Source organism: Homo sapiens, chromosome 2 (genome assembly GCF_000001405.40).
Source record: "Homo sapiens chromosome 2, GRCh38.p14 Primary Assembly".
NCBI classification, from domain to species: Eukaryota; Metazoa; Chordata; class Mammalia; order Primates; family Hominidae; genus Homo; species Homo sapiens.
The window spans coordinates 30,335,579-30,360,174 of NC_000002.12; the positions used below are offsets into that span (position 1 = coordinate 30,335,579).

Sequence of the window (24,596 nt, forward strand, 5' to 3'; positions counted from 1 at the left end):
CTCTCCCCCAAGATGCCACACAAATAGCATCACTGGAATGTGATGTAAGGGTGTGCATCTTCTGACTAGTATTATTATCATACCCATTTTTTCAGGGAGGAAAACAGGGCTCAAATAACATACAGTGTCCAGTCAGGGATCATTCAAGTAGGAAGAGGCAGAAACACAACTTGAACCCAGATCTCCAACTGGAAATCCATGTTATTAGCATCACGCTGTGATAGTATTCTGCAGGGTCTGAAGGTGTCGCTTCCAGCCAGGCAGGCCTGGGTTCCAGTCCTGGGATCCTTCTTTTCTTAGCTCCTAAAGCTAATTCCTTCCTTTCTCAGAATGCTTGTTTCCTCATCACGGCAGCAAGGCTAATCACACCCACTCAAATGGTTATCAGGAGGAGTATATGAGGCAAGATGACATGTGCCAACCACCTAGGACAGAACCTGGCAGCCATTAGTTTCAGTCTCCAGTGCACAATTTGCAAACTGGTTTTTAACTGCAAAAATTTTAGTTCAAATATAATCTTACAAAGATACCCAATATGCAAAGAGCTAAAACTGAAACTTCTCTGAAGGAAGGGTGATGGGTGGCTCAGCACCCCACCCACTCTGGCCCCTCTCCCACCAGCAGAGGCTCTGTTGAACACTCAGAATTTCTCAGAGCACAGTCAGGCAACCTGGATCTGGGGGAAGAAGAATGCTCTGAGATCTCAAAGGACTCTGAACACATGCCCCAGATTAAGACAAATGATATCCTTTTGTTGCACAGAGGACATTAACGATATCCTTTTGTTGCCAGAGTGGGTGGGGAGCTGAACCACCCAACAATGATAACATTGTTTCGCTGGATATTTATCAAATGGCCTAGAGAGGGTGGAATGCCTTTGGTAAGCAGGTATCCAAAGACAATAGCATAGGTCATACTGAAACCTATGTCCCAGGATGTAAGATGTTATGAGTATAAACCCTGATTCCTCTGAAGACATTGGAGAGATGCAACCGTCATCCTTGTAGTACCCGAAACATGGTATTCTGGGAGGTTGGGATTGAGGGGATGGAAAAGGGCCATTTGTCGTGGACTCTTCCTTTGATGAACTCATTTGGAATTACTATAGAAGACACCATACCCCATGGATACACGGTTTCCTGCTCCGGCCCCTCCTCTGCTAGCTTGGCTACTCAAAATCCAACTAATATTGACTGAATGTCTGCATGCCTGCTATGTATCTGGAACTCCTGAGGCACACTCGGGTCTTACTTCATTGAATCTTCAAAACTGTCCAGCAATTCAGAGACTCTTACCACAGTTTACGGTTGTGAAACTGAGGCTCAAAGCAGTTTGGGACATTAGTCCTGGACTTGCAGCTATTGAGAGGACAGGGTTCAAACCTAGCTTCACCCAAGGCCAAGTCCAGTGCTCTTCCAAGCCCCCTCCATGAAGCTTTCCAGAGAAATCCTAGCTGTGCCCAGCCATTCTAGATACTGTCCGGGAGGACACCTTAGAAGCTTAGGACAGCCTGGGTGATTCAGCCTAGAAGAACACACTAGGAGAATGGTGAGAGACCTGTGTTCTTGTCCGTTCTAATTTTAACCCGGTAGGTCCCTTCTCTAGATGTAGTTTTCTCATCTGTAAAGCTGAGAGAGTGGCTTTCTAAACCACTTCCTGTTCTGCATCTCCTCCCCATGACTGCCTGTGTACATCTGAAAGCAATGGTTCTGGGGCCTGAGTCTCAGTCTGATGTGTTTACATGTCCCTGGTTTCTTTCGGCCTGTTCCCCAAGAACGGTCTCCAGGCCCGCGCCCTCAGTGCCCCTGAGCTGCAGCTGCTTGCCTGGCCTCCCAGCCCCAACTGCACCTGTCCAGCCCGTGCTCTGGGGAAGTTAGCAAGGAATCAGGACCCTGGAAGGTGGCACAGGCTCAAGGTGGCTGCAGAGGAGGCAACTACAAGTGCTGCTGAGGGACCTCCTCCCGGCAGCCCTCCAGAATTACTGCTCCCCAAAGTAACTCTCAGGTTGTTTTAATGAAAGATAAATGCATGCTACCCTGTGCTCAGTTTTTATTTTCTAGAATGTGTGGAACAGTGAGGGAATTGTAACATCTTTTTTGTTTTGTTTTGTTTTTGAGTCAGAGTCTCACTCTGTCACCCATGCTGGAGAGTGCAGTGGTGCGATCTTGCCTCACCGCGACTTCCGGCTCCCGGTTCAAGTGATTCTCCTGTCTTAGTCTTCCGAGTAGCTGGGATTACAGGCAGGCACCACCACGCCCAGCTAATTTTTGTATTTTTAGTAGAGACAGGGTTTCACCAAGTTGGCCAGGCTGGTCTCAAACTCTTGACTTCAGGTGATTCATCCACCTCGGCCTCCCAAAATTCTGGGATTACAGGCGTCAGCCACCACACCCGGCCTGTAACATCATTTTTTAAAAATCAAACACACAGTGAGGTGGTGTCACAACTCCTCAGATGGCTGAGAATTGTTAGGAAATGCAACCCTGTGGCTCAGACTCCACACTCAACTGCTCTCTGGAAGCATCACCTGTGCCCAACCTCACCTCAGTAGCGGAGAATTGCTGGATCAGTATACAGACTAGCGGAGTGGTTGGGAGAGTAGGAGCCGCTCTGAAGGGATCAAGCCTCAACTGGATGCAGGAATTCCGGTGGTTTATTAGCAAGAGAAGGCACTTGGAGGTGCAAGGAGTGCAATACTGAACAAAACAGCCACAGTCCTTACCCTCGTGGAGCTTAGAGTTGTCAGGGAAGGATATGGACAGTAAACAGGTAAAGTAATAAATATATATGTAATCTAAAATTGAGAAAATGCTACAAAGGTCAGAAGCAGAGTGTGTGATGGAGAATAAGGGTGTTTTTGGGTTGGAGAGAGGGACTTCCACTGAAGCAATGTTGTCAAGGATGATCCATTTGAAGGGGTAACATGTAAGCTGAGAGCTGAAAGTCAAGGAATCAACTGGGCTACAAACTGGAAAAAGAGCCAGAGGCAAGGCCAAAGGCCCCAAAAGAGGGTTCAGCAAACATTCGGTGCAGGGCCAGATAGTAAATACCTTTGGCTTCATGGTCCATCAATCTCTGTCATGCCTGTGTTCCAATAAAACTTTATTTATAAAACAGAAGCAGGAAGTATTCTGCCAATTCCTGCCCTGAAACAATAAAGCATGCATTGTGTGTTAGGAAAGAATGAGGCTGGCTAGCCGGGCCAGGGAGGAAGGGGAGGGTTTCAAGGTGAGGTGGAAAAGACAGGAGTGAGGTCATGGAAGGCTTTGTAGAACATGGAAAAGACTTCGGATTTATTGTAAAAAGCCACTGCAGGGTTTTAAAGCAGCCAAGAGACATGACTTGATTTATACTGTGAAAGATTACTCTGGTTACTGTGTAAAGAAAGAACTGGAGAGAGGAAAGGGAGGAGGCAGGAAGACCCTCTTGGAATCTACTGTAATAGCCATGGGAGAGATGCTGGTGACCCGCTATCTGGTGGAGATAGAGAAAGGCAGATGGCTTGAAGATCCAATTTGGAGATTACATCCATAGGACTTGCTGATGATCACATGTGGCAGAGGAAGAGCCAGTCCTCAAATATGGCCTTCAGGATTCTGGCTTAAGCAAGTGGGTGAATTTACTGAACTGTAGAAGATAGGAAACAGAGGGGCTAGGTCAGGGGATAGACTCAAATACGGAAACCAGAACTTCAGTTTCAGAAACACTAAAGTTGAGATGCTTGTGAGACATGTAAGTGTCGAGGTCCAGTAAGCAAATCTGATCAGGATCTGAGAGGCAGGGCATATGGGGCTTATAGGACACGCCTCCTTCCTCAGCTTGGCCCCATTTTCCCCTAGGCTCAGTTGTTGCCCTGATTCCTAGCTGGAGCAGCCCCACCGTGGTATGATGACCTCCCGGTGGTTATGAACCTCGCTGCCACTGCTATGGCCTCACCTTTCATTGCTGACTGAGCCCCACAGATGAGGGCCAGGCTTCATCAAGCCTTCCATGGCGCCTTCCCTGTCAGGGGCCTCAGTGGCTCCAGAGCCCATGTCCAACCATCTGAACTTAGGCATCTCTGACTTCTCTGGTGGCTTTCCAAAAGGGCCTAGTGACATAAGCAGAAAGTGCAAAGGACTTAACTCCACAAGTGGCAAACCTTAACCAATGTGAGCAGGAGATGGGAAGGAACTGGCAGATAAATTGTTCACCTTCCTTCCCTCAACAGTTCTGCCAAGATGCAGTGGTCCCATACTGCTTCTCTCGATGGCTCACGTGATCAAGCAATCAGCTATGTGTTTTCTTGGGAAGCTGTGGCCAGCTCCACAAAAAACTATGATGTGATGGCTTCCCTCCTCCCCTGCCTTACTTCCCCTTTGCCCTCAGTCCTGCTTTCCCTGGGATTATACCCTCCAATAAAACATTAGCCCCTAAGCTCTGCCTCAAGTTCAGTTTTGTAGGGGACCTGGGCCTATCCAACCAGTTTAGATGCTAAAAATGTTAAGCACCATCTATTTATTTCACAAAGATTTTTAAAAGTACTTATCATATGTCAGGTATTGTTCGAAATGCCTTACAAATATTAACTCATTTTATCCTTATGATGATCCTGTAAAACAGATATTATTGGTATCCCCATTTTAGAGCTGAGAAAACTGCAACAGAGAGGTCAAGTAGCCGTATAGATCAGTGCTGGCTATGGAAACAATGCAAGCCTCATATGTAGTTCTAAATTTTCTAAAAGTTACGTAAAAGTAAAAAGAGACTGGTGAAATTAATTTTAGTAATATTTTTATTTAACTTAATATAGCCAAAGTATTATTATTTCAACATGAAATCAATAAAAACCATTTTAATGAGATTGCTGACATTCTTTCATACTAAGTCCTTAAAATCCAGTGTGGGCTGGGCATGGTGGCTCACACCTGTAATCCCAGCACTCTGAGAGGTTGAAGTGGGAGGATTGCTTGAGTCCAGGAGTATGAGAGCAGGCTGGGTAACACAGTGAGACTTTGTCTCTACAAAAAAAAAAAAAAAAAAAAAATAGCTATGCGTGGTGGTGTGCACCTGTAGTCCCAGTTACTCAGGAGGCTGAGATTAGATGGGAGGATGGCTTCAGCCCGGGAAATTGAGGCTACAGTGAGCCTACATCATGCTGCTACACTCCAGCCTGGGTGACTGAGCAAGACTTTGTTCCAAAAAAAAGTCCATTGTGTACTTAATATTTACAGCACATCTCATTTTGTACTAGCCACATTTCAAATGCTCAATGGCCACTTGGGGCTGGTGGCTGCCCTACTGAACAGGGCAGGAATAGATCGTATGCTACATTATGAGTAAATGACCACGTAGAGGAGGAAGAAAAGACTTCCCTCAAAACTCAGCTGGCATTCCTTGAGCTGAACATAGGCATGGAGAAAGACTATCTTTTCTCAATAAGACGAAAGAACTAAGTAGATAGAAATTTATTTGCTCTTTTAAATTTTTTGTTAATTACAGTTGTATATGTATCAGCAAGTGCTGACAAAAAAAACATACATAGCAAACATATGTTATAGGAAACATTCTGGAAATAGGTGTTTGTAACTAGTCTGACTGAACTTCTTCTTTTTTTTTTTTTTTTTTTTTGAGACAGGAGACAGGATCTTGCTCTGTCCCCCAGACTGGAGTTCAGTGACATGATCTCAGATTACTGCAGCCTCCACCTCCCAGGCTCAAGTGATCCTCCTGCCTCAGCCTCCCTAGTAGCTGGGATCACAGGTGCATGCCACTACACCCAGCTAATTTTTTTTGTATTTTTTGCACAGATAGGGTTTCGCCATGCTGCCCAGGATGGTCTTGAACTGTTGGACTCAAGCGATCCTCTCACCTCAGCTTCCCAAAGTGCTAGGATTACAGGTGTGAGCCACCACACCTGGCCCAGTTTGACTGTATTTTGCATATACGTGCTAATGCTTGAGATTTTTAGGCTGTACACAAATAAAATATGGGTATTTTCTGCTAGCAAAATTGTCCCTAGTTGGTATGGTTAAAATGAACTTTCAACAGAACTCGGTGTCATTTTCAGTGGTGGCTCGCAGAATCCTGGCTATGTGTAGGGCAGGCACCGGGTGCTGGGATTGTAGGAGTAAACAGACAGAAGAGGGCTCCACTCTTAGGGAGCTGACAGTCTGCTAGGAGAGCACGATCAGTGAGTGCTTCTGATGCAGTGGCAAAGGAGTTTGATGGGTGTTATGACAGGAAACGTGAGGCACTGGGAGAGCAGGTAGGAGGGACACCTGACCTGGAATTGAAGTTTAGGGAAGGTGGCAGGGAGGAAGGGATGCTGAACAAGGACCTGTATTTGTCCATTTTCATGCTACTGATAAAGACATACCTGAGACTGGGTAATTCATAAAGAAAAAGAGATTTAATGGACTCACACTTCCACGTGGCTGGGGAGGCCTCACAATCATGGTGGAAGGCAAAATGCATGTCTTACATGGCAGCAGGCAAGAGCAAATGAAAGCCAAATGGAAGGGGAAACCCCTTATCAAAACATGAGCTCTTGTGAGACTTATTCACTACCACAGAGAACACTATGGGGAAAACCACCCCCATGATTCAGTGATCTCCCACCAGGTCCCTCCTACAACATGTGGGATCTATGGGAGCTACAATTCAAGATGAGGTTTGGATGGGGACACGGAGCCAAACCATACCAGGACCCAAAAGATGAACAGGGGTCAATTAAATGAAGAGGAGGTGAAGGGCTACAACGGAGCCTGGGTATGTTCGAGGCAGAGGTGAAAGCCTGGACGAAGGCCAGATGAAGAGAGCATGGCACATTCAAAGAACCAAAAGAAATTCATTGTAACTGGATCACAGTACAGGTTGGAGCCCAGCAAGAGGTGAGGGTCAAGGAGTCAAATACAAGACAAGGAAAAGAAAAGGACAGGAGTTTTAATGGATGTGGACTGGGATTTCTCAGAGTATGGTTACACTGCATACATCACATTCACTGGAGATGCTTGTTATGAACGGGAACTTTTGGGGCTTTTTCTAGGCCTGGGTGGGGTTTTTCTCAGAGTAGGGTTACACAGTGTACATACATCACCTTCATTGGAGATGCTTGTTATAAATGGGAACTTCTGGGGCTCTTTCTAGGCCTAGGGAGTTTAGGAATCTTCATTTTAATAAGCTCCCCAGGTGAATGCTTTGCACACAAAAACTTGAGAAACACTTAAAAAAATAGTTGAAAAGTCTTTGACAAGTTTCTCCACTAAAACCAATATTTGAAAATGAATTCCCACATCATAAAACAATAAAGAGAAAGTTGGGAAAATTTGTGCACTGTTTGAATATACTAAGGAATTGTTAAACTTTAAAGGTGTCATAAGGTATTGTGTTTAAGGTTTTTAAAAAGAACCTTATGTTTTAGAAATGCATGCTGAGATGCTTATGGATAAAACTATATGATGTGAAGGAGTGGCTTCAAAATGACCTTGGTGGGAGAAGAGAAGTGTAAATGAAACAAAATGGCTCACAAACCGACCATTATTGAAACCAGTGATGGCTACATGGACACTCACTTCACCGTTTATTTACTGCTGAGACCAGCTCGGTCGGGGAGACCCTAACCCAGTGGCGCTAGAGGAATTAAAGACACACACACAGAAATGTAGAGGTGTGAAGTGGGAAATCAGGGGTCTCACAGCCTTCAGAGCTGAGAGCCCTGAACAGAGATTTACCCACATATTTATTAACAGCAAACCAGTCACTAGCATTGTTTCTATAGATATTAAATTAACTAAAAGTATCCCTTATGGGAAATGAAGGGATGGGCCAAATTAAAGGACTAGGTTGGGCTAATTAACTGCAGCAGGAACATGCCCTTAAGACACAGATCGCTCATGCTATTGTTTGTGGCTTAAGAATGCCTTTAAGCGGTTTTCCGCCCTGGGCGGGCCAGGTGTTCCTTGCCCTCATTCCCGTAAACCCACAACCTTCCAGCTTGGGCGTTAGTGCCATTATGAACATGTCACAGTGCTGCAGAGATTTTGTTTATGGGCAGTTTTGGGGCTGGTTTATAGCCAGATTTTGGGGGGCTTGCTCCCAGCAATTTACTTCCCAATGCTTGAAATCTTTCACAATAAAGCTTCGTTTAAAACTAAATTTCCATGGGATTGATTCATTTCATGCATTCAATGATATTTGCTGACTTCTAATACGTGATCAGAGAGATGTTTCACACTGGATATGGATCTCTGTAGAGTCCAGGAACAAAGGCAGCATAACGGCTTCTTTGGATGTGACTTTGTCCTTTCTCACGGGGATCAGCGCTCAGATCTCTTTTCAGTTGGCTTCTTTTTTCTTTCAAATAAAAAGGAGTACACAGTGAAGCCATCAAATCCAAGGATGACATAGCTCTTCGGGACAATGAACTGTCATACAGATCAAAGAAAACTACAAGAAACTTTCACGAAGCTGCGGAGGGAAAAGCAAACATCAGATGCAATTCAATGAGCTTGCAGTTAGGGGAGTGGATCTAGAGAAAATTGTCCAATGACACTTACAGGCTGATGAGCTCTGAGCCACAGTTACAACCTGGGAAAAGGATTCAAGAGGTATCACTGGCTATTTGCTATAGATTTCAGCTCCCAAAGCCATGAGCCCAGGTCAGAATGGGCCTGGAAACCTAAAAGAAGGCAGATTGCGGGCAGGCTGGAAGGATGCAAACTACCCTATGTCTTTACCCTATATGTTATCAATTGCAATTCAAAAACAGATTTGGGGGAAAGCCCTACCACATCAAATGTACACACTGATAATAATACACACCCTAATCTCATAAATACTAAATAGTGAAAAACATATCCCCTGAGAATTCACCATTTATTGGGAACTTAAACTTCATAGCATAATATCTATAACCTCATTTTATTCTAGTAGCAATCCTCTGTGGAAACCCACAGGTTTGGAAACCTGCCTCAGGTTACCTGACCATATTAAGTGGTAAAGTTGGATTTTAAATGGGAACTCAGTGTCCTCTAACTGGGATATGTATCAAATTCCAGAGGGTAATTAGGCAAAAATAATAATCAGGAAACCAATTTCCAGATCCTCAACTTGCATCGGCCTTCTTCCCTAAAATGGAGTTATCTGAGAATAAGACTGAATTAACACACTAAGGCTTTTTCCGTTTTACAAAAGAAAGGGGACCCAACGTGGGGAATGACTCCATGAATAATTCCATAGCTCACAGGGCCTCTGCATCCTTGTACTGGTGGTGAGAATAATAACAATTTTTGGCCGGGTGCGGTGGCTCACGCCTGTAATCCCAGCACTTTGGGAAGCCGAGGCGGGTGGATCACGAGGTCAGGAGATCGAGACCATCCTGGCTAACACGGTGAAACCCCGTCTCTACTAAAAATACAAAAAATTAGCCGGGTGTGGTGGTGGGCGCCTGTGGTCCCAGCTACTCGGGAGGCTGAGGCAGGAGAATGGCGTGAACCCAGGAGGCAGAGGTTGCAGTGAGCCGAGATCGTGCCACTGCACTCCAGCCTGGGCGACACAACAAGACTCCATCTCAAAATAAATAAATAAATAAATAAAATAACAATTTTCATTTAATGACTTTGTTCTTCATTCCCCCTGCTCTTGGGGGAGAATCCTACAAGAGCAAAAAAAAAAAGTATAAAATACGAAAAACGGCTTTTTCCATGTATGTAAATGTGATCAATAAAATACTCTGAAGCATAAGAAAATAATATGTCAGGATAAAAATCTGTGAAGGAAGTAGGAATAGTAATAAGAGTTCCAGGAGATAAAAAGAAAGATGTAAAATTCCTGAATGCCAATCAGCTTTTTCATAAATTTTAAAATGGATGATAGGGGCTACCAAATTGTCGATGTTACATTCCACTGGATCCATTTTAAAGTGTGAAGTCACAGTAGGTTTTAAATATCAATATTTACAATAAGCCAGAAACCACAGTTTTTGCAGCTACTTAACTTTTGAACTTCATTTTTTAAATGTGCTGGGGGTAGACAGTGGATAGCTTTACAAAATTCTGTTAGGGGTACATACATAAACAAGTAAGGCATGGGCCCTACCTGTCTGACGACACTCTCTCTGCTTTTTCCACTTCTCTAAGTTGGCCTCTAAACAGCACCTTCTCAGCACTTGGGTAATAATGACATCAAAAAGCAATGAAGGCCAGGTGCGGTGGCTCCTGTCTGTAATCCCAGCACTTTGGGAAGCTGAGGCAGGTGGATCATTTGAGGTCAGGAGTTCGAGACCAGCCTGGCCAACATGGTGAAACCATGTCTCTACTAAAATTACAAAAAAAATGAGCTGGGAGTGACGCTGCATGCCTGTAATCCCAGCTACTCAGGAAGCTGAGGCATGAGAATCACTTGAACCCCCGGGGAGGCGGAGGTTGCAGTGAGCCAAGATCGCACCACTGCACTCCAGCCTGGGTGACAGAGCAAGACTCTGTCTTAAAAAAAAAAAAAAAAAAAAAAAAGCAAAGAAGAAGTAAGCAACTCCCCCTCCTCCCATATCCTAGGAAGTACAGAGAAAACTATTCTATATGGGTTGAGCCCCTATTATGGGGCAGGTCCTATTTGGGGCATTGAATTCATCTGTCTTTATTGCTCTAATAGGGACACTATCACTCCCATTTTACTGATGAGGAAATGGAGGCTCAGAGGAACACATAAGCTGTTTATGGACTTACAGCTGCTACAGCTTACAGCTGGTAAGCACCAGAGCCAGGATTCAGCCCAGCTCTGGCTTAATCCAAAGCCAGTGCTTCTCCATGATATCATCCATGCTGCCTCCAGAAATCAGAGCAGAATTAGGGGCCACCTTGGTTTTATTTTCTTTCTCTGATAAAAGTGAAGTAGGGCACAAGACCCTGCCCAGTTCTTTTCCTACAGGCCTTTGAACATTCCCCAGCAAAGTGAGAAGGGAAAGCTCAGGGCTACCTCCAGTGCTAGCGCAGAGGGCGGGAGTATCAGCTGGCTGGCTGGAGCTGGCCAAGCCCCTCCTCTCCTCCTCCTGCTTCCCCCTCCATCCAGGCTCCACCGGGAACCTGTCCCAGACGCCTACCCCGCCTGAGCCAGAGGAAGGGAGGAAAACAATAGCAAAAACCAGGACCCTTCGGACTTGCCGCTGAATGGGGATTTTCGTCGGATGTTGAGTTTACCTGGAATGCCCCGGTGTTATTTTGGGAAGGCAGACATCCCACGGAAACAATGAAGTGGAAAAGAAAACAGCTAAAGCAAAATCTAGAGCCCAGTTTTTGCCAAACCAGCCCCACGTGGGCTGGGCAGGCTCTGGAAGCCCAAGTCAGGCCGATGAAGAGCGGCTGAGGCCGTGGGGATCTGGTTTACCAGGAGGGCACATGGAGGATGCAAGAAAAGGAAGAGCCGTATTCAAGTCCCCACTTCAGTGATGAGGCAGAAAGACCCTGCGCCTGACCACGTGGGAACAGCCTGCAGTGAGCGGTGACGCCGCCTGGCTTGAGCTAAGTGCTGGGCTCCACCATTCATTGGCTGAGTGACCTTAGGCAAGTCACTTAACCTCTCAGAGCTTCCTTATCCTCATGTAGAAGATGGAGGTGGGGCGCGGTGGCTCACGCCTGTAATCCCAACACTTTGGGAGGCCGAGGCGGGTGGATCACCTGAGGTCAGGGGTTCAAGACCAGCCTGGGCAACATGGCAAAACCCCATCTCTACAAAAAATACAAAAATTAGCCCGACGTGATGGTGCGTGCCTGCAGTCCCAGCTACTTGGCAGGGCGAGGTGGGAGGATCACTTCAGCCGGGGAGGCAGAGGCTGCAGTGAGGCATGATTGCACCACTGCATTCCAGCCTGGTCAATAGAGCGGGACCCTGTCTCAAAAAAAAAAAAAAAAAAAAAAAAAGGCAGTGGGAGTGGGAGTGATTTGCTTTAAAGGAACAGAGGAAAGATAAAATATATCTCTATATAATTATATACATTATATATAATATATTTACATATTTTATATATATAAATATATATATATATGTCCTTAGATATAGGTGTATATTTTCATATATAATTGATGAGAATTATAGATTATAGAGAGCAGTCATCTGGGAAAAAGTTTACAAACTGCTATCAGGCACTGGAGAGAATTTACTCAGGAGAAAAGGCCTAGGGAAGAAGGAAAGAGATAAAGTCCACTGAGCTAGCAGGGGCTGAAAAGGGAGAAGATCCTTCGAAGCTCCCTGTGCATGGTTTGACTTTGGTTTGCAGCACCAGCTCCTCCCATGCATAATATTACATAGTATTCTGGCTCTCTATGGCCCCTGCAAGACATAATTTATTTTTAGGGATTTATTGAGAATCTGTTGAATGCATTGCACCACGCCAGCATGGCAGGGAATCAGGAGCTAAGTCAAAAGGGTCCCCAAGAGCTGCTTCCTGGCTGTCACCAAGTCCTCAAGCCGCTGAGCTCACCTTTTCCTTTAGCGTCCGGGTCAACTGCCTGGTGCTCTCTTCCCACTTGCAGTCAGAATTTCAAGCCTTTTTTCATCCTCCTGTTCCAACCCCTGGGAATTCTGCAGAGCAACATGTCTCCCAATCTCATTTCTTGTTTAGACTGGGAGAATTGTGATAGACACCCTCATAGATGTGTCCCCTGCAGATGTCGTCTGCTTTCCATGCGGCCTCATCCCACACATGATGTGTCCCTCTCCCCATACTCCCTAAAGAAGCACTGACCCGAGACAGCTGACGGAACCAACATTTACCCTTTGGTAGGAGCAGGGGATGACCGATGACTGTGAAGTACAGGAGAGGGAACAGTTCACACCACTGCCCTGTGCTTCCTTGGCCAATCCTCCTCAGGGACCTCCTCTGCCAGCCATTCTAGTGCTCCCGGTTCCACCCACTGCCATGTTGTCCACAGACACTGTCTCCTCTTCTCCCCTCTTCCAGACTCTACCATCCCTCAAGAGGCAACATCATCATACCTCTTTCCTTTTGACCTTCCAAGGACCCTTGGAAGTTTCTGTTAGTCTTTTATATGGAGCAATTCAACCCGCCTTTGCTCCAACCCTCTCCCATCAAGGACTCTTCGGTGTAATTCTTTGAATCCTCACAGATACAGAGTGAATGGAAATCATTCCATTAAGCCACCACGCTGAAAGAAGCTCCTTTAGAGGACATAGGAAAGGCAGTGGAGAAAGGGCCCTACCGAGTACCAGGCACTGTGCTTGGCCCTTTGCACATACAGTCTCATTTCATTCTCCCAACAGTGCTTGAGACAAGCATTATTTTAATCGTCATTTTATAGGTTAGAAAGAGAGGCACAGAGAGGTTAAGCCATCTGCCTGAGTCAGCAAGTGAGGCCCAGGCTGTGCCTGGTGTGGAGGTTGGGAGAGAGTGGGCAGGAGAACATTGCTTTCCATTACCAAATGGGCCATCATTTCCCAGAACAGTTCTGACTGTGGTCAGCTGGTACAAGCAACAGTTTCCAGTCATTCCACACAGTACTGTCCCCAAAGGTACAGACGCCAGACAAGTGTAAAAGCCCAGGCATGACTGTGGGCTAAGGTTGGCACCTTGGCCAGCCTCAAATCCCCATGGGCACATTGATGTCATGGAAGGCAGGTTCTGCTCTTCAGTGGCTCCCAGCGACCTGGCTGATGACAACGTCTTGCCTTAGTGTGTTAGTGTCCTAGGATTGCCTTAATAAATTGCTACCAACTGAGTTGGCTTAAGACAACGGAAATATATTGTCTCACAGTTCTAGAGACTAGAAGTCCAAAATAAAGGGTGACAGCAGGGCCATGCTATCTCCAAAGACTCTAGAGGAGAATCCTTCCTCACCTGTTCCAGCTTCTGTGGCTCCTGGCATTACCTGGCTGTGGTGGCCAAATTCCATTTCTGTCTTTATCTTCACAAGGCTTTCCCCTGTGTGTCTCAAGTCTTCCTCTCACTTTTTTTTTTTTTTTTTTAAATAAAGACATCAGTTGTTAGATTTAGGCCCCACCTGAGAGATCCTTAGGATCTTATCTTAAGAATAATGTTAATCCTTAATTACATCTGCAAAGACCCTATTTCCAAATAAAGTCACATTCATAGGTACATGGAGTTAGGACCTGGACGTGTCTTTCGGAGGGACATGGTTCAACCCACCATGCTTGGTCTGGGGTTACTTTAAAATCCGGGCTTGTTGGCTTTGTGGCTTAAAAAATGCTAGAGAGGAAAGTTCCTGAGGCAAGTAAAGGGGAAGGATTGCAGGCCCAAAGTCACGGCAATGGAAAAACCATTAGCAGCAGGAGGCAGGAAAGCCCTCTGGAATGCCTTGCTACTGTCCTGCCCCATTTCTCACTCCTTCTCTCCTTGCAACATCCCAGATGAGAAGAGAATGAGCCATGTGTTTCCTGAAACATCCAGTGGCCTCACCGGAGAATCTGCAAGAGCCGGTAAACCCAGAAGCTTGGCCGTCCATTCCTGGAAGCAGACATTGTGTCTTCGTCCACCAAGCCCCTGGCTCTCAACACTCACTGTGGTGGCAAGAACATGGCACCTTGACCCTACACAGTTCTTCCATTTTTCAGAAGCAGGTGAGCACAGATTGCTGGGATGGAGTGAGTAAAAGATATAAACTGGACTGGGCACGGTTGCTCGCACCTGTAATCCCAGCACTTTGGGAGGCCGAAGCGGGCGGATCGCTTGAGCTCAGGAGTTCGAGATTAGTCTAGGCAACATAGTGAGAAGCTATCTTAAAAAAAATTTAAATAAAAGTTATAAACCAAGGCTTGGGGTTTCTGGGTGCTTTGCCAGGACCTGTTCTTGGGCAGAACTGAATATATACTCAATTCTGAGGAGGGAAGAGGAAGGTCATGGCTAAAAGGTAGGCTCTGAAATCAGACTCCCGGAGCTCAAATCCCAGCACTCTCTGCTTGCCACTTAGACTTCAGGTAGGGGAGGGGGATATAAATGTTTGAGCCTCAGTCCCCTCCTCTGTAAAATGGGGGCAGTAAATGTACTGCACACAGCTGCAAGGTGTGAATGAGGCGATGCACGTAAAACACAGTGCCTATAGTATCACATTGGGGTTTTTTGGTGTTTTTTGTTTTTGTTTTTGTTTTTTTGACAGAGGGTCTCACTCTGTCACCCAGGCTGGAGTGCAATGGAGTGATCTCAGCTCACTGCAGCCTTGACCTCCTGGGCTCAACCACTTTTCCCACCTCTGCCTTCAAAGTAGCTGGGACTATAGCCATGTGCTACCACGCCCAGCTAATTTTTGCATTTTTTTGTAGAGATGGGGTTTCACCATATTGCCCAGGCTGGTCTAGAACTCCTGAGCTCGAGTGATCCACCCGCCTCGACCTCCCAAAGTGCTGGGATTACAGACGTGTGCCACCATGCTCAGCCCCACACTCGTCTTTAAGAAAATTAAAATAAAATTGTTTTAAACACAGTGTCTGGCACAGAATAGATGCTCAATAAACACCAGCTGCTACAATTAGAGGGGAAATCATCATAATTGTTGGATTAAAACATAATAAAAGACCCCAGTTGCCTTGTTCAAGGCAGTATTTTCAGAAGCAAAGTTTTAAAAGTTTAAAAAGAGGTCAGTATTTTAAGTCATGTCAGCTCCACAGCCACGGAAGTGCTGGAAAGGCACCAAGCCTCCTCTCGGTTTGCAGTGAAACGCTCCTCTTCCGTCTGAGGGCTATCGTTCCAGCAGAGATCAACACAATGGACTCTGGGATGGACATTGTTCTCCAACAGGCCTGGCCCTGGCCCAGCTGGGGTGAGCATTTCCTTTGCAGCATTCCAAGAGGCGACAGTCCCAAAAGATAATTAAAAATCAGCTAGCGGTGGTGACCAAGAGAAAGGCACTGAGCCCTCCGAGTGTGGAGATAGGGCATCCCGGGTTATTAATTAAGTGTGCTCACATTTGCATGGTGTAGAGGACAATTATCAAGCTGGAGCTGTCAGCTTTAAATGCTGTTTGCATTTCTGGATGACTTTTTGGCGAAGAGGGTCAGGGAGGCTCTCTAAAGTCATTTTTGGGAGTCTGGAGGAATAGTTAGCAATTCGCACTTCACCTCGTTTTACCCTGCAACTCCATGGAAATTCCAGAAAGTCTTGGTTTTAATGGTCTCTTGCATAGGCCCATGACATGGGTCATCTCTCTCCTACCTCCTTCCATGCTGAACAAATGGAAAGGCATGTAACATAGTGTGGCAAGGACTTAGGAGTCCAGAAGCTCCCAGATGTGTGCACCTGTGGAATCCGCCACCACACCCTCCACACACCAGCCTCTGCAACCAGACAGAGAGAGGAGAGGTAAGGGGTGAGGATGTGATTGATTTCCATCCTCGGCCCTCCAAGGAGGAGGCTGCCAAAGAAAACAAAGGCCACTGCAGGGGGGCAGCTCGTGGTGACAACCTGCACTGGGGCCGGAGGGCAGCCAGCATGGCACCTGGATCTGATCAAGATGAAGTTTTCATCCCCATCTGCCTGTTAATGTCTTCTTTACCAGTTGCCACCCCCTAATAAGGGGTATGCCGTAGACTGGAAGTCACTAGGGACCTGCCCAGCATCCTGTTCTAGGCATTGACTAATCCACTCTCCTACATCCTGCCTCCCATCCACATGGTCCAATCAGAGGCTGCCATGCTTGCACAATGTGACACTGTCTCTATGGACACATTAATTGGTCCTGATGTAGAACTTGACCCAAGATCAGGGTCAAGTTGAGAGAAGACTTATTTTCTTTCCAGGTGTTTCAATAACATGTAAAACTTGGAATTCGATAGCAGCCATCTTCTGCCATGAGAATTGGGAAGAGAGAAAGCCTATAGTGATAATAAAGTCAAATTATCCTAAACGCTAATCCCAGTTCTGCTGCTTACTAGCTGTGTGTCTTTAGGCAAATTCCTTAGCCTCTCTGAATTTGATAAGAATATGAATACCTGTCACATGGGGTTGCTGAGAGGCTTAGATGATATGTATCAAAAGCCAAACACCTAGAGGTGATCAATAAATGGAGATCCTCCTTCCCTCTTCCTTCCTTTTCCAAGATCAAGGGCAGCCAGAGTGATACAGTCCTAATCCATTGTTTAAGCATAATTGCAATTAAGCAGGGAGTTTAACTGAGCCCAAATATAGTTCTTGCTAGCTCGTAAAGGATTTATTTTTATCATGTGAACATTTTAATACAATTCCATTGCAGACACTCTATTGAGGAACACAAAGGTGAATACAGTGAGAGTTATACTCTCAAGTAGCTGCATGTGACATACAATAAAGTCTATGAGAGTCAGTAGGGCCCATGCCCAGGATAGTGTGATGGACTCATGCTAACCCTGATGCTTCACTTCACCCATCAGTGAGGACCCCCTTTGGACAGGGTCGGGAAGACCTATCTGTGTTAGCCCAGCTTCTGCTTGAGTGGGTTGTGCTGTTACTAGTGGGCTGCTAGTACAGTTTGTCTATAATCTTCAGAGGAGAAGCCGTGATCCCTCAGCTCCTCTGATGCCCTGAAAGCAAGAGAGGTTACCAGAATGTGCTTGAGAAGAGAGATCATGTAGAGTCACACACACAGAGACAACAGGGCCTTGGGACTGGGGAGGAAGGAGGGTTGGGAGCAGCAGTCAGTGATGCAAGTAACAGTGGGGGCAGGGAAAAAGGTGTCATCTGTAGGTGTCAGCCTACAGATGGGAGAGGCTTGAACTGTGTCTCATCATCAGTGATGACCAGCATATATTTTGCTCCTATCATGGGCTAGGTCTTGCACTGTGTTTTATTTGCATAGTCTTATTTAATTCTCAAAAAATCCCATGGAGCAGACATGATCAATATCTAAACTTACAGATAAGAAAACTAATGTCAGGGAGGTAAAATGACTTGTCCAAGGTCATACTGCTGGTAAGTGGTGGAGTCAGGGCCCGAACCCAGGTCCTTATGATTTCAGAGTCCCTGAGCCACCATTTCTACATGACTTCCAATATTGAAGCCAAACAAAGCCTTTGGAATCAGCCCTTTGCAATTCGATGTGTGGTCCCTAGACTGGCATCACGGGCATCACCTGGGAGCTTGTTAGATATCTAGACCCTCAGGCCCCACCCCAGACCTGCTGAATTAGAATCTGCATTTCACCAAGATCCCCTGCTGTTTTGCATGCACTTGCAAGTTTGAGAGACCCAGCTCCAGATGACAGCATCATTTCTCACCTGTTTTTCTTCTGTTGCTACTATGCCAGGATGTTAATAGGAATTAAAAAGGAAAAAAGGTTAATGGCCAAATGAGTTTAGGAAAAAGTGAGTTAAACAAAGCCAGACTGGCTTCTTTGTTACTGGATTTCTCAGAACCATTAATAAGCTGACATATATATATATGTCATATATATATATCTATATATATCTATATCTATATCTCTCTATATATAGATGTGTTATATATATAGATGTATATCTATCTATATATCTATCTATATATATAGATGTGTTATATATAGATGTGTATATATATCTATATATAGATGTGTTATATATAGATGTGTGTGTGTGTGTGTGTATATATATATACATATATATATATGTATGTGCTAATTGGGGGTGGAGTTTGCAGGATTCCTCACTTATTTGACCTTTGAGACTTCTTTTTTTTTTTTTTTGAGAAGCAGCTTGCAAAACTAGTGTACTAAATAATTCACTTTTGATAATGACTGATTTAAACCAACTGTCTTCTAGCACAGCTGTGTAAATGAGGTCCAGAGAAGTTATCGATTTGTCCAAGGTGGCAGTCAGTGGGTGGCTTTGCCAGGACAGCACGTGAGGCCCTGTGTGCAGTGCTCTTTTCAAGACACTGAGTTTGGAGGCCCAGAACTTTGCCTCCTTCATCTCCTCAGCTTCCTTTCCAGCTGTGAGGAAGTAACCATGCCCTATGATCAAGCCTGACAAAAGGTAGATGGAGTCAAACAGGATAACTTGTGCTGAACTCTTCTCCATAGGTAAAGCCACTGGCCCGAGATCACAAAGCTAACCAGTGGCGAGGCAAAGAGGCAAAGAAGGGACCCCAGATGCATTGGGTTACAGTGCTCAGGGCTCCTCCCTCCCTGGAGATGTAGGTGTTTCCAGCCTCGCAGCCACAGCAGGCAGAACTGGGCCCAGAGATAGTGCTAAGGTTGAGTCCTAAAAAAGGGGCCTGGCCTCTCCTTGGCTGAGCCTTGGAAAGCCTCAACCACCAGGTCACAAAACATAATGACCTGACATAATGGCACAATGAGTCACAACACAGCCCTTGGGAGAAAAAATAGACAGTGAGGTGTCATGAAAGTTTTTCTGGACCATCTGGAAGGGGACAGGGATGGAGTCAGTGCTACCACCTGGCTGGGGCTCTCATGTTAAGGGACTTCTCTGGATCTCAAAGAGACAGCTCCTCCAACTTCTACTAATGGTTGAGCAGTTGGGTAGAGCAAGCCCAATTCCTTGTTGCAAAGCCAGCTCTGCATCTGGGCATCTCAGTGAGAGATCCTGTGAGAATGAGAAAAGCATTAGGGTTGGGATTAGAGTTAGGGTCATGGAGGCAACTCCCTAATCAGCCCCCAAAATGAGTTCATCTCCTCTGGTGCTTCTACCTGTCTCCCTTCTGGACTGTCCTCTAGTTTCCCTTTATTTGGACATCAAGGACTCTTCCATGTCATCCTTTGAACCCAGGCCTCACAGATACAGAGTGAATGGAGATCATTCCACTGGGCCGCCATGATGGAGGGAGCTCCTTTCAAGGAAGTAGGGAAGGAGATGGAGAAAAGGCCTTACCGAATGCCAGCCGCTGTGCTTGGCCCTTTTCTCATATTGTCTCATTTCATTCTCCCAACAGTCCTGTGAGACAAGCATTATTTTTATCCTCATTTTATAGGTTAGGAAACAGAGGGGCACAGAGAGGTTAAGCCATCTGCCTGTAATCACTAAGTGAGTCATCTGAGATGTGAACCCACAGATTTTGGACCCTGACAACCTCTTGGGCAAGAGAACTTTTTAGTCTGGGTAAACAGATCTAGAGAGAGAAAAGAAAGTGGGGACTCGCAACATCCATACTCCTGGAAGGGACAGTCCTACTCTGGCCTGCCCATGTTTGGGCCCCCTTGAACCCACTGCACAGCACAGAGCCAGAGAAGGTGAGGCTAACTTCATCCTGGAGTGATGATGTCTGAAGCCCCAGGTGGAGCCAGTTCTCAGTGTCTTGAAGCTTCTCTGGTGATTCCAAAGCACAGCCAAAGTTGAGAACCAGCTTTCTCACTTTATAGGAACATTGAGCTCAGGGAGGTGAAGCTGTTTTTCTAAGGGTGAGTTACTGGAACACCAAGGTCTTCTAATTGTCCACCAGCCAGAACAGGTTTCAGAAACACCTCTCCCACTTACTAGCTGTGTAACATTGGGCACGTCATTTAACCTCACAATGAAACACTTAAATGTACATGAACTCTTTGGATGGTGTAAGTGGGCAAGAAACATCAGTCTTCTCCCTACCCTTCCCCCACCCCAAATCCAGCCCTCTTTCTGCTACACGGCAGTAGAGGAGAGTGTGAGGAAGGATGGGCTTTAGGATCGGACTATTGCTGAGCTATAAGGACAGGGCAGGTGGTGGGTGCCCTGGGGGTGTTGCCTGCCCACAGGAGTCCTGGGAAAGGGCCTCTGTGTGTTAGGAAAGACCAGTGTATTTCCTACTCTTATGCAATACTCAACACAACACTTCTGATGCCAGATGATGGGGGCTGTTTTCCCACACACAAAGCAAGCGATTCCCCAGCAGACCTGGAGACAGCGTCAGATTCCACAGGTTGAAGGCTCAGCCCCACAAGACTGCCCCCAACTTCAGATGCCAAGCGCAAGTCCTGGTTGTGACCTGTACTTTTGACCAACCGGCTATAAATTGGGGTTCCCATGGCCCTCTCCTTGGGTTCAATTAATTTGCTAGAGGAGCTCACAGAATTTCAGGGAAACACTTTATTTATGTTTACCAGTTTATTATAAAGGATTGTTACAAAAGATGCAGATGACTGCCTGGGGGAAGAGATGCACATGCATGTGGGAAGGGGCACGGAGCTTCCACACCCTCCCCAGCGTGTCACCCTCCAGGGACCCGTCCAGCTATCTAAAAGCTCTCCAAGCTGAGCCATTTTTGGTGTTTATGGAGACTTCATTACGTAGACATGATTGATTAAATCATTGGCCATTGGTGATCTGCTCAACCTTCAGCCCTTGTCCCCTTGTTGAGGTTAGGGGATGGGGCTGAAAGTCCCAACCCTCTAACCACATGGGTGGTTTCCCTGGCAACCCGTCCCCATCCCGAGCCTATCCAGGAACCCACCTCGTTCTAACGAGCCATCTCGTTAGAACAGAAGATGCTATCACCCAGGAAATTCCAAGGGATTTAGGAGCTCTGTGTCAGACATTTCTATCATCCAGGAAATTATAGAGGTCTTAGGAGCTCTGCGTCAGGAACTGGAGTCAAATACCAAATAACAGAACAAAAAAGTTTCCTAGCACCCCTATCTACCAGGGTTTTAAGAATCAGAAATCAGGGGCTGAAACCAAATCCATGTTACTTTTTTCTTTTCTTTTCTTCTTTCCTTTTCTTTTCTTTTCTTTTTTGAGACAAAGTCTCATTCATGTTGCCCAGGCTGGAGTGCAATGGCGCGATCTCGGCTCACTGCAACCTTTGCCTCCCAAGTTCAAGCGATTCTCCTGCCTCAGCCTCCTGAGTAGGTGGGATTACAGGTGTGTGCCACCATGCCCAGCTAATTTTTGTATTTTCAGTAGAGACAGGGTTTCCTCATGTCGGCCAGGCTGGTCTCGAACTCCTGACCTCAGGCGATCTACCCGCCTTGGCCTCCCAAAGTGCTGGGATTACAGGCGTGAGCCACCGTGCCCGGCCTCATGTTTCTTATTATACCACAACATCACAGGACTCACGTTTGTCATCTCGGATGCCACACCAAGCATAGGTGAGAAGTGATGGGAGACAGGAGGGCAGGGGGAGCACAGGATGAGGTCGCTGCCACTGAGCTGGAGAGGGAGCCCAGGGCTGGGCGACTCCATCCTATCCTGAAATGCAGGTAGCCACCAGGTGGACAAGGTGCTTTGTTTTAAAGAGCCCTTGCAAGGTGCTCTCCATCTCCAGAGAGCTGAAAGGCAAATTAAAACTCATGCTTCCCTCCTGCATATGTCTTCACTACATAAATAAATGATTGGCTAAAACCTAGTCTAAATATCCAAAACTATTACCCGTGTTTCTTTTCAGTACGGTGGAATTACAGGGGCTTTCACTTTCTGCGTTATCTATCACTTTGATATTTAGCTTTTTCATAGGAACCATTGTACTGCTTTTGTCATAAAAAGCAATGCTTTTTTTTTTTTTTTTTTTGAGATGGAGTCTCACTCTGTTGCCCAGGCTGGAGTGCAGTGGCACAATCTTGGCTCACTGCAACCTCTACCTCCCGGGTTCACACCATTCTCCTGCCTCAGCCTCCCGAGTAGCTGGGACTACAGGCACCTGCCACCACGCCCGGCTAATTTTTTGTATTTTTAGTAGAGACGGGGTTTCACCATGTTAGCCAGGATGGTCTCGATCTCCTGACCTCATGATCCGCCTGCCTCAGCCTCCCAAAGTGCTGGGATTACAGGCATGAGCCACCGCGCCTGGCCCTAAAAGTAATGCATTTTTAAATGCTGGTATAAATATTTGCAGAATGCCAGTTGCCTATGCTTTTCAATGGACTTTCAAGGAAAATCTGTCATTTGGAGAAAGATTTTCAAATCATTGCAACCTCGGCACGATTCAGTGCCCTCTTCCTTATCTTTTCTGTTTTCAGAGCAGCTTCCTTAGCACTGGGGCTACCCTTCACTTTCCCAACTGGAAGGGTTTTTGACCTGATCAGCTCCTCTGTCCCTGCTATTGCCTGGGCACCTAAAGCACCTCCTGCCTTTCTCTCCACCTCCCCACCCCCCACGCCCAGGTGCTCTGGCAGGCATGTCACATCAGAGGCTCACATGTTTCTCCACCTTTCCCCAGTACAGAGAAGACATCTGCCTCCAGTTCGTAGGATGAATTACTCCCTTAATTAATTACTCCCTTAATCGATGATAACTTCCAGTGCAGGAGAGGGTGGAGGCTCTAAAACATGATTGTGCTAGAGAAACCTCATTGTTTTGTACCAGAAAGTGGTCACAACCCTGGCTGCCTCATATGTGATGTTGTGGAGACAGTAACAAGGAACACTTCAAAAAGAGAAACTTTCTGAAAATAAACCAAAAGTGGCCTATGTGCACAGGTACAAGTCCATGAGGCAGCCTCTCAGCTCTTTCATATTGTTTGTCCCAACACCGCTACTTTGCCCAGCCTGACGCACATAGGCATGGAGATGCTGAGCGTCAACACGGTGGAGTCATATCACGTGATCACAGATCCCAGCTTAGGTGCAGTCATTCGAGCCACTGAGCCTGCTGTTCTGTTTAGTGAACATATGCCCCAGGAGCCAGAAGCCAGCCATCTGCCTGAGTCAGCCCTGGCCCCAATATGTGTGAATATGAGTCTAGTGCTTAGTGATACACACTTCCACACAACATGGTCCCTAAATGTAAGACAATCACTCCATTGCATGTGCACCCAAAATCACAGCATCTGTTCCCAAGCTGATGGAAACGCCAATTTGTCAGAGTCTTCAACATGGTACCTTCTGAAGGAAGAGTCAAGGGTGAGTCTGATCATACGTGATCTTTCCTTGTTTGCTGAATTTAGAGAGTAACTCTGCTTAAAATGTTACTCCCTATATGTGTAGGTTGCAGACACCCCTGGATTCTTTGGGGGCAGTTCCCCAGGTCCTGCTACATTTGCTGTTGACATTCCCTTATTTTCTTTCCATCCAGCTCCAGACCCTTGTCCCCAGGTTTTGACCCCACCCAGACCTTTGCCTGGGACGGAAAGCTGCTTCATTTCAGGAGACACCTGAAGTACCTGGGTTGGTTCAGAGACTACCAGAAGTTTTTGGACTTCTTCTAGTCCTTTAATGGCCAAAAGGACTCAAGGGCCTGGCATGTAATGGAAAAGGCATCACCTCTCTCATGGAACGCAGCTGGAAGGACCAACCCCTTCATAGTTACAGGAATCTGAGCTATGAAGACACTAGCCAGGCAACAAGGCCCTGGGCTCAGACACAGATGAAGTTTCTCTGGAAGAGAAATCTGGCCTGTTACAGACCTGGGAAGTGCCAAGGCTTAGCTCCTGAGAAGGATTGCTGGTGCTGACAGCTGGGAGTCAGGACTCCAGGGCCACTTGTATGGAAGCTGGTGCCCGTGGTGCAGGAGGATGGGGGCTCTGGATTCTGCACCACCCCCCATAGACTGGCCCCTCAGAGGGCTCCTGTGGTGTCAGAGCCCTCTCACAAGCGCCTGCCGTGGTTATCAGCTGAAGCTGAGTGCTTGTGGAGTGTGGACAGAGGGCAGAGGGAGAGAAGCAGCCATGGGCTTCCTGCCAGGAAGCTCAGCAGCTCCGAGGAGACTGGAGAGTCATGGGACACAGTGCGTCCTCCCCAGAACAGCCTCCAGCCTGCCAGTTCAGAGCACACGCTTGGAGG

At 46.4% G+C, this 24,596-nt stretch overlaps 1 long non-coding RNA gene across 1 annotated transcript, besides 6 other annotated features; it reads left to right on the top strand.

Annotated features, from left to right (window-relative positions):
* Positions 412-461: an enhancer, noted in NCBI's record as "active region_15538". NCBI's record gives its function as "activates an Ori minimal core promoter by ATAC-STARR-seq in GM12878 lymphoblastoid cells {active_cell/tissue: GM12878}" and the evidence as "EXISTENCE:reporter gene assay evidence [ECO:0000049][PMID:35858748]".
* Positions 482-581: an enhancer, noted in NCBI's record as "active region_15539". NCBI's record gives its function as "activates an Ori minimal core promoter by ATAC-STARR-seq in GM12878 lymphoblastoid cells {active_cell/tissue: GM12878}" and the evidence as "EXISTENCE:reporter gene assay evidence [ECO:0000049][PMID:35858748]".
* Positions 672-731: an enhancer, noted in NCBI's record as "active region_15540". NCBI's record gives its function as "activates an Ori minimal core promoter by ATAC-STARR-seq in GM12878 lymphoblastoid cells {active_cell/tissue: GM12878}" and the evidence as "EXISTENCE:reporter gene assay evidence [ECO:0000049][PMID:35858748]".
* Positions 742-811: an enhancer, noted in NCBI's record as "active region_15541". NCBI's record gives its function as "activates an Ori minimal core promoter by ATAC-STARR-seq in GM12878 lymphoblastoid cells {active_cell/tissue: GM12878}" and the evidence as "EXISTENCE:reporter gene assay evidence [ECO:0000049][PMID:35858748]".
* Positions 1,672-1,861: an enhancer, noted in NCBI's record as "active region_15542". NCBI's record gives its function as "activates an Ori minimal core promoter by ATAC-STARR-seq in GM12878 lymphoblastoid cells {active_cell/tissue: GM12878}" and the evidence as "EXISTENCE:reporter gene assay evidence [ECO:0000049][PMID:35858748]".
* Positions 2,242-2,481: an enhancer, noted in NCBI's record as "active region_15543". NCBI's record gives its function as "activates an Ori minimal core promoter by ATAC-STARR-seq in GM12878 lymphoblastoid cells {active_cell/tissue: GM12878}" and the evidence as "EXISTENCE:reporter gene assay evidence [ECO:0000049][PMID:35858748]".
* LINC01936 (long intergenic non-protein coding RNA 1936) lies at positions 11,068-14,580 on the top strand. Its single transcript, NR_122048.1, has 2 exons — positions 11,068-11,537; positions 14,359-14,580. It is a non-coding gene; the product is annotated as a long intergenic non-protein coding RNA 1936 (long non-coding RNA).
* Positions 14,581-24,596: the final 10,016 nt, after the last annotated feature.